Genomic DNA, 13,420 nt, shown 5'->3' with positions numbered 1-13,420 from the left:
AGCCCCCAGTGCAGGACATAAGGAGACCAATGTTTTGTCTATTAAGGTGACTTCTTTAAATTACAAGAAAAAAACCTGAGATGAGCATAAATCTTCTCTTTTATTGGGTTGCTACAGGCACATATCTCTTCTGCCTGAAAGACAGTATTATTTAACAAACTGAACTAAAAGTTCAAACTGAATAAACCAGGTGACTTGATTCTGTTTGTGTCCAACATTGTTAGCAGAAGCTACCGTGTCAAAAAGCCATTGCTATGACATAAGAAATCAAGCGAACCCAGTGGTTTTTGAAGACACAAATACATTTATATATTAAGAAATATAATTGTGTTGACAAATTCTTCCATGCTCCATCACATACAGAATAAAACTGTGTGTGTCTTTGTCTGTATAAACCACATCCATCTAGTATGGCACTGCACTCTCTTCCTGGGAATTTTTAAGGTGGCTGGCCACTAGATTCAAACAAATAAAGAAAGGTAAACCATTGGAGGCAGTGATCACTAAGAAAAGTTTTCATCAACTCTCATTATTATTGGACAAACATACTTCTCCTGATGGGTTTCTGATTTGGGGATGCTGAATTGAGATTCTATATGGATGACGGGTGCAGAAGTGATAGTTTAAAATTAGCTGCTCTTTCTTATTTTGATGTAATTCCCTTCTATAACAAGTTTGTTGAGGATTTTTACCATAAAGTGATTCTGGATATTTTCAAATGCTTTTTCTGAATCTATTGAAATGATTATATGATTTTTTATTTTAATTCTGTTTATGTGGTATATTACAATTGACCCATAGCCAACATCATACTAAATGGAGGAAAGTCGAAAGCATTCCCCCTGAGAACTGGAACAAGACAAAGATGCCCATTTTCCCTACTTCTATTTAACGTAATACTGGAAGTCCTAGCCAGAGCAAATAGGCAAAAGAAACAAATAAAGGGCATCTAAATTGGAAAAGAGGAAGTCAAACTATCACTATTCACTGATAATATGATTGTATACCTAGAAAACCCTAAAGACTTGTCCAAAAGGCTCCTGGATCTGATAAATTTAGTGAAATCTCAGGATACAAAATCAATGTACACAAATCAGTAGCACAACTATACACCAACAACAACCAAGCTGAGAATCAAATCAAAAACTTGATCCATTTTACAACAGCTGCAAAAAAAAACCTAGAAATATGCTACAAACACTGCTGAAAGAAATCAGATTACACAAACAAATGAAACACATTCCATCCTCATGGATGAGAAGAATCAATATTTAGAAAATGACCATGCTGCCCAAATCAACCTACAGATTCAATACAATTCTCATCAAAATGCCATCATCATTTTTAACAGAACTAGAAAAAAAATCCTAAAATATAGAACCAGAAAAGAGCCTGAATCCTGAGCAAAAAGAATACTGAGCAAAGTAATACTTAGCAAAAAGAATAAATCTGGAGGCATCACATTACTGGACTTCAAATTATACTACAAGGCTGTAGTTACCAAAACAGCATAGTACTGGTATAAAAATAAGAAATTTAGACAAATGGAACAAAATAGAGAACCCAGAAATAAAGCCAAATACTTACAGCCAATTGATCTTTGGCAACACAAACAAAAACATAAATGGTGGAAGAACACCCTATTCAATGAATGATGCTGGAACGCTGGCAAGCCACATGTAGAAGAATGTAACTGGATCCCCATCTCTCGACTCATATAAAAATCAAGCCAAGCTGGGCCACAGACTTAAATCTAAGACCTGAAACCACAAAAATTCTAGAAAATAACATTGGAAAAACTCTTTTGCACATTGGTCTTGGAAAATAATTCATTACTAAGACCCCCAAAACAAATGCAACAACAACAACAAAATAAATAAATGGAACCCAGTTAAACTAAAAAAGGTCTGCACAGCAAAAGAAATAATCAGCAGAGTAAACAAATTACCAACAGAATGGGAGAAAGCCTTCACAAACTATGCATCCAACAAAGAACTAATAACCAGAATCTACAAGGAACTCAAATAAATCAATAAGAATAAAACAAATAATATAAAAACAAATAATCCCATCAAAAAGTGGGCAAATGAAATGAATAGATTATTCTCAAAAGAAGATATACAAATGGACAACAAACACGAAAAAAAAGTGCTCAACATCACTAATTGTCAGAGAAGTACAAATTAAAACCACAATGAGATACCATCTAACTCCTCCATGAATGACCATTGTTAAAAAGTCAGAAAACAATAGATGTTGGTAGGGATGTGGTGAAAAGACAACATTTTATACTGCTGGTGGGAATGTAAATTAGTACAACCTCTAGGGAAAACAGTATGTAGACTCCTTGAGGAACTAAATGTAGATCTCCCATCATAGCACTGTTTCTGCCCTTCGTCTGATATTTAACTTTCTGTTTCTGAACGATTTCACTGAAGATAATGGTCTCCAATTTCATCCATGTTGCTGCAGAAGACATGACTTCATTCTTTTATGTGGCTGAGTAGTATTTGATTATATATATTATATATACCGCTATATATGTATATATTATATATACCACTATATATATTATATATACCACTATATATATATATAATATATATATGTTCAATATCCATCTTTCCTATATATATATATATAAATATATAGTGGTGTGTGTGTGTATTGTGTGTATATATATATATACACACACATATACAGTGCATATATATACACACACACACACATACCACATTTTCTTTATCCAGTCATCCATTGCTGGACACTTAAGTTAATATCTTACATTTATAATAGGAATTATTGTGCTGTGCTGATATCACTACCTCCTTTTGTGACCTGGCTAATTCTTCTCTATTAACCTTTGAAAATAAAAATAAGATTCTACTTTTATAAAAATTACAAAATTAACATAACACAACCCTCATGTCTCCCCATTCTTTTTCGTGAAACCCTTATTCCTAGTTACATCAAAGCTGGAAGCTTCCCCAAGAGTCCAGGCTCTCTCTTTTCTGCAGCCTTTGTACACCCTATGTTTCTGCTTGGAAGGTTTTTTCCTTGCCCACTCTTCACCTGAATCACTATATTCTCCTTTTCTAACACATCTCAGGCGTGCTTCCCTAAGGAAACTTAAAGATGTCTGTCCTTAACCTTGCCAGTAAGAGCCTATGTGTGCACGGTGATTGCTAGGTTATTTTGCTCCTTTTAACCTTTAGTTGGGATGCAATAATTATGCAAGTCTGTGGGATACAGAGTGATATTTCTATATGTGTATACAATGTGTAATAATCAAATCAGAGTAATTAGCATATCCACTACCTCAAACATTTATCATTCCTCTGTGGTGTGAACATTCAGAATCTTCTCTTCTAGCTCTTGGGAAATATACAATAAATTATGGTTAACCACATTCCTCCTGCAGTGCTAGAGAAGACTAGAACATATTCCTCTTATCAAGCCATAAATTCATATTTGTTAACCCACCTCTCCCTATCCTTCCTTCCTCTTCACCCCCTCACCCTTTAGTATGATACTCTCCACTTTCATGAGCTCAACATTGTTTTCAGCTCTCACATATGAGTGAAAACATGTGATATTTATCTTTCTGTGCCTGACTTATTTTGCTTAACTATTTGTTCATGCCCGTAACTAGGTGGTGAAGTCTTTAAATGAAGAAATACTGCCACCAATATTATATCCACAGAATGTGGCTTAATGCCCAGAACAGATTCAGTACTCAGTAGATGTTTGATCAACGAATGAATGAATTAGCAAATATGATTTGAATCATATATTGTTGGTTAATAGGAATGTTCCATTACTATACAAATAGAATGAAGGTATAAACCATACAGATTCTGATTCATTACTCAAACAATCTCCAAATATGCTGTTTCACTTTTGCACATATTTCTACTTTTAGCAATTTGTGCAAGAAAACAATGAAAACTTGTATTGCATGTGCAATACAAATTAAAGGAGAGAGTGTCCACAGAGTCCTTAAGTGACCATTTACCATCTGGTAATGATCAAAACTTAGTGACTCCTTGGATTCCAAGAGTTGTATTATGTGTGTATGAATGTATGTTCATGCTGGTTCATCTGTGCATGGTACACATAGCATCCTTGTTCCCTTCCTTAATACCCACAGAAATAGTCATTTTATACCTGAAATTTTACGATGCCATAAGCATGAGATTCACACATAATTTGTTCTGGATAATAGTGGCTGCAGAATGAGCTTAATCAAGATATAGACTCTGCAATTTTGATGTTTTGATTCACTGCACCGAAAATAAAGCCTGTGGGGCATTCTGCAGTGCAGGGAGTATGGGGGCAGCGTGTGGTCTGTTTCCCTTTCATCTGTATGTAGCACAGTAAGGCTAGAATCAAAGCCAGATTGATGTTTCATAATTTGTTTCCTATTCTAACCATGTCACCTTCCCTCTGCCTACCTTCACTAAGGTATGTTTCTTGTGATATGACGTCTAATCAACAAATTACCTTTCTTATTCCCAAGCATAATTTATCAACTTACTCCATTCTAGTTTATTTTTGTAACATTGGTTCTTATTTCTTAGAACAACTCACCTTAACAGCTATTCCTTCTGAGAAAACATATATGAAGACTTGGGTGATATATCACTCAGATAATCCTCTATGTCTCACGAACACATTATTGGAATTGGCTAGTGGCAGCTTCAGTTTTTGTTTTCATATCTTCTAAAGATACATAAGGCTAAATTTTGATAGTTTACATGTGTTCTCCTTTTTCACTCCCTCCTTATAGAAATTAGAGATATTTATTTCTTACGATGTTCTCTCAGGGTTATTGAAAACTCCAACAGTATCACTAAAGTTCTATTTAAGCCCTCTGTTTTCTATGCAATTACTTATTCCAGAGATTTTAATATTTCTAGAACTGAAACTCTGAAACTCTGTGCTGTTTTCTGAACCATTTTATTAATTCCTACAAAGAATTTAAAGCTACTGACTCACCATACTGCTGTTTTACTCAGAGTTGGCTTAAGGATACCCTAACAAACAGTTGACAAGGATGTTACATTTTTTAACTAACATAAAAGGAGAGAACAAAGGACTAGAGTCATCCTTCATAACAGTAAGAAAAGAAGCTGGAAAATAACTATTGGAATGGCACCATGGTAAATGCAATTGTATTTACTATACTTAGTTTGATTGATTTAACTGGGAATATTGTTTAAAGGAGAATTTTCATACTACCTCATTTGTCTTGAAATGAAATGAATATATTTTATTTTTAAAATTTGACAATATTAATGTTTTTCTTTCCACATAATTCCGTATTTGTCTTTTCTTACTCTTGTAGGGCACTGGCTCATTTATTCGTTTATATTAGTTTTTTGTGATCTGTTCATATGATATTCATACATACCCTCAAAGACACACAGATGTACACAAAAAGTGAGTAATTTCTTTTTATAGTTTATGGTATTCCTTTACATGTAGGTTTACTTAAAATTTTTCGTGGTTTCTCCAGAATTGGCAGTGTACGTTTTTAAGTAATTTAATTTCACTTTCAAATAACCCTAAACCACTTCACATGTAGTACCGGTACCTTACAGCTGAGTGCTCAATATTCCTCCTTCCTAAAGCTTATGGCATGGCTGTGTTTCATCTCGCTTGTCTGTGTACTATGGTCACCCAATGCATTGTTACTCTACTTTGAAAGTTTCTGATCCTGGATTTCACTCAGTCACAGGTTAAGAGATTTAAAACCCCTCCTTCATCAATTGTATTGTCACATCTGTCAGCCTCCTACCACATTTTCTCAAATTCATTAAAGAATACAAAATTGCATATGATAGGAGGAATAAGTTCCAGTGTTCTATTGCACTGTAAGGTGACTATAGTTAACAATAGTATACTACATAGTTTCAAGTAGCTAGGAGGGTAATGAATATTTCCAACACAAAGAAATGATAAATATTTGAGTTGATGGATATGCTAATCACCCTGATTTGGTCACTGTACATTATATTATCAAAACATCCCCATGCAGCCCATAAATGCATACAGTTATTATGTATAAATTTGAAAACTTAAATTAATTAATTAAAAGATAAAATTAAATAAATAAAAAAATTTTAAAGACTGGATTTGGGGAATCTCAATGGTAACCCTTAGATGGTTGGGAAGGAGAATAGGAGGACTGGTTTGTCTAAATCAATTGGCTTTGGGACATGCTGCAGGAGCTGTGTGTAGATAGTCAGTACACAGTGGGAGGTTCATAAGTGTGTATGAGTCCATAATAGAGACAGAGGGAGAGAAAGTGAGTCCTCGGCTATTAAGAAAACCAGTAAGGCTGCTCCAAGTCAGACCTCTTAATTGACACAGAGGACAGCCAGCCAAATAGATTAGGTAGAATACCTAGGTAAAGAGAGTATCCAGTTTTATGTTTACTGAAAGTCATATTTCTGTACATTTCATAGTTGCGTATATTTCTTCACAAAACTTTCACAAAAGCATTGGGAGTTTAGAATTGTGGTGGGGTCTATCATTTTTAAATGAAATAACTACAGATTTTTCCAGTGAAAATAAATGTAACTCTCACAGAATTTCAGTAAGTTTGGATACATGGCATAAATATGCATGCATAAGAAAATATACTATGGAACTAAAAGACTCATTCTAATCTATTTTGTAAATTGCAATGTGTATTACCCTACTTAAAAGAATCTTCTAGTGATAGGCAAAGTACAGCTTGCATTGCTATTCTAGAGAGTAAGATCTATCATGTAGAAGTTTGCTATTTGATTCAGGTAGTGATGTAATTTTACTATAAAAATGTCAGAGCAAATGTTTTATGAAAGCAACAAATCACTCTACATCCTGCTCACTAAATCATCTGGGTAGGTCTACAACAGGAACTTGGAAAGAAATGTTGAGATATTCAACATAAATGTATATGTATACTGAAATATTTCATTTGAATTCCATTTGAAAGTGAATTTCTGCACTGTGTTAACCAGTCATTTTCAATAATGTCTTACTTAAATTAGGTTGAACTTTGAGCAAAGTCAACCATTCACGGCAGGATCATGCATTTCAGTCAACCACAACAAAACAATAATAACTACAAGTCAGGTAGGGTTTTAGAGCTGCCAAGAACCTTACAAAGAGTTGGATTTAAGGTTTCTGCACAGCATATTGTTACTGGTAGACTTGAAAACCAGGAGGCGAAGAGTGTTCTCAGGGGTCCTTGAGCTCTCACTTTCTTATTGACACAACAGATGAAGTCCCAGGACCATTTCTATCCTATCATAGAGGTGTTTATGTTCTACATGTTGGCTTCAAGTCATCAGAAGAGAATATTCTATGTGTAATTAGCTATACTCATTAAAGAACAAAGTGTGTTTCTTAAAGATGTCTGTTGAAAACAGTTAATGATTAACATACAAAAAATTAGGCTTATCTTTACTAAAAAATCACTGGCAGAAAATAACGCACTCATTGATAATAAATGAAAATTGGAATAATACAGTGTTAATTAATGAAATCTTCTAACTAGTGGGGGCTCATCTCTTGTGCTTCATCACCCGGATTCTTTGAGGGAACTGACTGACTTGGGTGAATACTGAGGCTCTTGCAACCAGGACAAGAAGTGCCTATGTCCCTTAGGACAGCATCTGGCAGGACCACCCACTCATGCCTCATATCTCTGTCCACCTTGAGTACAAGCAGGCTCCTGGGCACTCTGTTTGCCTTTAGTTTTTCCGTACCTTTCTACATACCTTATTCTTTCCATACCTTTCTACATATCCTGAGATGTGAGCCATCCTCTGCTCTCCTTCTTAGCAGATCCTTCCTTGTGCCCTGGTCATTTTATCCTCTGTGATTGGTAAAACTCTCCTTGAAGTCATTTTTAAATTTCTTTATTCGTAACTCTGAAACCTAATTGCCCATTGAGTACCCATTTCTCAGAAGAGGATTCTTTTTGCCTCATACCCAACACACCTCTAGGCCAGAAAGAGGGGTCGAGGTCCTCCTAGCTTCCCTGGGCTGACTCCAGACCCATCTTCTATCTCCGGTTTTCAAAAACCACTGCTTCTATGAGACCAACACCATTAAAATCCAATGCTACTCTTCCAAAATCACCACCATGCTCCATGTTGCTATACAGCACTCATTTTTTTTTGTTTTTTGTGTCACCACAGTTGATTCTGCTAAACCTCATGTTCTCTGAGCATCTGTGGCTTCACCCCCTCTTGCTTTTTTGGCTTTCCCCTTACCCTCCTGGCCCCTCTTCATTTTCTCCACCTCTAAATGGAGAAGTTGAAGAGCTAAATCCTGGATTCCTTCCTCTTCTCCCTTGAAATTCTATTCCTAGATGACGGACTCTGTTTCTGAGGGTCTAAATAATCAATATGACTCTGGCTCCATTTTACTCTTGTAGAAAATTTTCCCAATAAATCTCTTGCACATCTCACCCCGTGTTGCAGTCTACTTCTTGGAGAACTTGAACCAGCACAAGAGATGTGAGGACTATTTGGACTAAACCAAGATAGGGCTGCTGAGAGCTCAAGAAAACACCACTAGGGCCTTTGGGTAAGTGTGGGCTTTAAAAGAGACGTGACTGTGCCACATGGTGAGGGCTCCAGAGGCAAGTTGCTATTGCTTGACTTAAATGATGAGGGCAATATCATTCATCCGTATACTCTTGCACACAGGACAGCAACAGACTGGTGAGCCATACAGACTTTAGTGAGCAGGTGCGACCAAGGAAAGAAAGCAATGAGGGTAAAGAAATAATTTTTCTGTGTACTGGGTTTTAAGGAATTGATGGACAGAACAGTATTTGTGCCTTTGAAAATGCAAAGTGGCTGAATTGTGGGTTTAACACAGAGCACAGAACATTAGGGAGTTCCAGGCTTAAAGTATCAGTGCCAGTCCTGGAGTGCTACTGGCAGTTGCAAATGGAAACAAAGATCCTTAATGGAAAAGGAATACCTCCAATTAGACCTAACAATTCAGACATCTACCACAAGACGTTTCTAAACTTTCACAAAGGCAGCAAAATCCCTGGATATCAGACTGAGTAGAATAAGAAATTAGAATTTAATTTCTTTAGACTGTTAACTTGAAGGAGCAAGGCACATGAATCTTAACTTAAATAAATTAACTTTCAAGGTGATTTAATCTTTGAACTTTAACGTCTTTGTAAAATTTTAAGAATGGGAGGGGTTTAAGATTTAAATTTGAAGTCAGAATTTTATCATTGAAATGTTTTTATATATTTTATTGTTGAGTTTCTTAATGTTGTAATTGGAACTCTTTACAGAATCACTGGTGGACTATTTTGACAATATGGTATTTGGAATGGGAAGTAGAATAATATTTTTTTTTAACTTTGGATCAGTATAAGTCCGAAGTTATTTTAATTATTGTATTTTTCAGACCCATTTCAGGAGCTTGTGTGGGACAAATCCATGCTGCCCACTACTGTTTCCAGGGAAAACCTAAGTGAAATATTCCAGGAAACAGGGTAGTCACCAGGGGATTGAGGTTAGGAAGTTGAGAGTAGGATTGTCATGATGGACTGTTCTTCCCTTCACAGCAGGTAGAGGCCCACATCCCAGGTCACCACAAGCTTTTACTTTAACCCCAGTGAGTTGAGAGAATGGGAGGCTGGAGAACATTGGTGGGGGTAGGTAATATACTGAAAGGGAGAGTGAATATTTATTATCCTGCCTTGGTGTTTCCTTTCATGTGAAGATGGCTCTTTGGAGCTATCCTATGGTGTCTCTCCTCCCGCTCATACATTCCTCTGTATGGGAAAGTAGGAGAAACTATTCTGATATGTAAGACTGATCTCTCAGGATCTGCTGTCTGCAGGGACCACTTGCTGTCCTCCACTGCCCCCGCTCCACCTCCTTTCCACCGTGGGGATGCCTAAGCTCCAGCCATGGCAGGGTGGAACTTCTACCTGAGCCAGGAGTCTGATGTTAGAATCTCATTTTGCTGTCACTTCTGAGATGCATTCTCCAGCATCACCTCATCCCTATAGAGAGCTGCCTCATGGGAGCACATTTCATGATTTTCTTCATGTAAGAGCAGGACACAGTCCCTGCTGCTCTCTTCACTGGGAAGGGCTGCAAAGCTGGAGATGTGGTCACAGCACAGTTGGCGTGCTCAACAGAGGCCCCTACTCTCTTCTACAAGCCATTACACACAACACGAAGTACAATTAACCTAAAATTAGCCCCTCGTGTATGTGGGCTTTGAGGATTGGTAGAATTACTGATATATTGAGTGAATTATTCTAAGAGACTTTATAGCTTCACAGAGGGGGAATTAAAACACATGTCGTTATGTAGGGAAACATGGAGAGTTCAGACAAACATGGCAACACTTCTTATTACATTTTGTCTCAATAAAAAATGATTTTCATGGCCTCAGATAGCATCTTATATAAGAAGTGGAAGGGCGTTACAGGGCTGATTCAAAATAAGACTTCATGTTTTTATGTTGTTTTATTTATTTCCTTATATGATAGGAATGAGAAAGGACTGAATCATATTTTGAGAGAATTGTTATGGAATTTGGTAATAAAGGGGATTTTTGTCACTGAATTGCTCAAAGCTGTTTTGAGATTATTTTTGCTATAGTATTATTAAAGCCACCTGTGATCCAGCTAAAAACAAAGACCTGTGAAGCTCCACTTGGCTTCAGGTCGTGGTACTTCCTGGAAGGCAGTCACCATCCTGGACAACTGCTTTGGTCTGGGGTGCTATAGTGATATAGATAAGTGATTGACTGAACTTGCCACAGAATGTAAAAACAAGATGATTTCAAGAAATTGTCACCAATGCCCACATTTTCTTCACCACATTAGCGATAGCAGCATAATATTTTTACTCTATCAGCTTTAAAAATCAACCAATGTGTAGCAACTACTCCACCTGTTGGTATTGGAGATTATAATGCCAGAATATCAATCTTGATACACAGCCCGTAATGTCATCAATTTATTTTCTAATCTTCAGCAGTACTGACATTTGAATAATTTCAGATAAATCCAGAGTAAAATTTCCTAGCTTCTCTCCTAAGCTGACCCTCTGGAATCCCACCAAGGATGTGAATCTCTTCTCTATCAGGCACTACGCAGGACTCTGTGGGTCTCTGAAAATGCCTTAAATATTATTCTAATTGAAAGTACCCTGGAACTCAGAGGCACCATCTCCACCGGAGCAGAAAGACTGACCCCACGTGATCTTCCAGTTCCAAGGGGATATCTGGGTTCTGGGTGTGGCACAGGGCCCTGAGAGCTGAGTGCCTGTGACCTTTTCACGTCATGAGATCATGAGAGTGTGTCCATGAAATAAAGACTCTGCCTCTCCCTCGATTCTCCAGACAATGCATTCCCTAACCAATGCCTTAGGATAAAGTGAAACAGATGTCTTCTGTCTTCATGAACCACACGCTTTGTATAAATAAGGATGTATCTGACATCCCAGAAGTTAGATTTAGGCTTCTCCCTATGGAAAACATCTCTAAAGACAAAACACTGCTAAGCAGAATTTCAGGTTTCCAATATGCACTACTCTTGGAGAAAAACCCGTGGATAGATTTTGTTTTCTTTAAAAATAATGTATAATTTTAACTAAGAAAAATTTCAGAGGATTTTTATTAATTTCTGCTGCTTGAAATGGACCATTAGTGTATGTCCAATTTAATGATAATCCCTCACACATTGTTCCCTCCCCTCCAGTGCCAGATTCAGTGCTCACCTTGAAAATCGGGTTGTAGTATTCACTGTTATTTTATTTTATTTGAGACGGAGTTTTGTTCTTGTTGCCCAGGCTGGAGTTCAATGGCGCAGTCTTGGCTCACTACAACCTCTGCCTCCCGGGTTCAAGCAACACTCCTGCCTCAGCCTCCCAAGTAGCTGGGATTACAGGCACCTGCCACCACACCCGGCTAATTGCTGTATTTTTAGTAGAGACGGGGTTTCCCCATGTTGGCCAGGCTGGTCTCAAACTCCTGACCTCAGGTGATCCGCCCACCTCAGCCTCCCAAAGTGCTGGGATTACAGTCATGAGCCACTGCTCCTGGCCATATTGACTGTTATTTATGCTCATACCGAAATATTCCTAAACAAGCTTGTTTGTCAATCTCAAATTGTGCAGGGACTGACTATAATATAACAAAATGGGACTAGAAAGAAAACTGCAAGCACTTTTCTCAGCAAATTTAGGTCCATTTTGATGCATATCTGCACGTGGTGGGTTGGAGTCTAGGGCTAAGGAGGCTCTGAAATTTGAATCCCACACAGATCAATTTACTTCTCAGTGATGAAAATTCTGATGCATGCCCCAGAAGGCACCACAAATCCAGGGAGTTCTTTCCAGAGAGGACTCTTAAGACCAGCTAGGTTAGATTAGGGAAAGCTAGTCCATCATCATTTCCTTAATACAAATTCAAGGAATAAACCCTGAAATTGATGTGCCAGGAATATTGTATTTTTCTTCTGTGGAAATTGTGCTTGGCCCTTCGCATGGAACAATTCTGTGAGATGGAGCAGCTTGAGTCAGCTTCCTCCTTATTTCTCGTTCTGAGTTCTAATGGGACGCTAGGGAAAGGCTGTGTGTTCTACCTGGGGTCTCTCTGGGTTTAGTGCTAGGCTACATTAGGGGAGGTCTGGCTCTTTAGGGGACAGAATTTCCTTTCTGTTTTCTGAAGCGGCGTGAAATCAAGTCCTTATTTGTATGCTACAGGACAAATATGAGTATGCCAAAGACGACATCTTTTCTGTGATCCAAAGTTGCCCTCCTAAGAATGTTGTAGGGGGCAAAAGTGCATCCGAGCCTCTTGGTTGCATGACCTTTCCATCTGTGAGTCTTGCTGGGACATCACCCCAGGGTCAGATTCTGCTCTGCAGCATTTAGTGACCATGGGCGGGGTGTGGGGGTGGGTGGTGTGGTGCTGGTCCTTCTCACCCTGAGAAACAGGGCCTGAGCTCAGCCCCCTCCTGGTAGCTGGCTGTCCCCATTACCACCCACGTGATGATGCTTCTCAAACCTCATTACAGGTCTTTTGGCCTTTTGTTTTAAAATAATAAACCTATTTTATGCTAACTAGGCGTCAGCCCTCAATTCCCTCTAGGAAATTTCATGTGCATCATGTATTAGCGTGCCTTAAAGGCATTATTAATGTTTCATAAAACGATGGTAACAAATGTGGGTTATTCCTTTTGAGAGGCTGAATATACTCAGACAATGGCCAGACCAAGTGTGCCAACAGAACTCTGACCCACAACCTCTGTAGCAATCGGCTCAGAATGGTCAAGACTTTGCCAGTGACTAAGAGCTTCCCTAATTTTTCCTCCAAATCCAACTCAGGACCCACTAGAGGAAGCCAAGGTATGCACCAGTAAGGAATC

The sequence above is a fragment of the Homo sapiens genome, chromosome 5 (assembly GCF_000001405.40).
Source record: "Homo sapiens chromosome 5, GRCh38.p14 Primary Assembly".
NCBI classification, from domain to species: Eukaryota; Metazoa; Chordata; class Mammalia; order Primates; family Hominidae; genus Homo; species Homo sapiens.
This window is presented reverse-complemented; position numbering follows the sequence as displayed.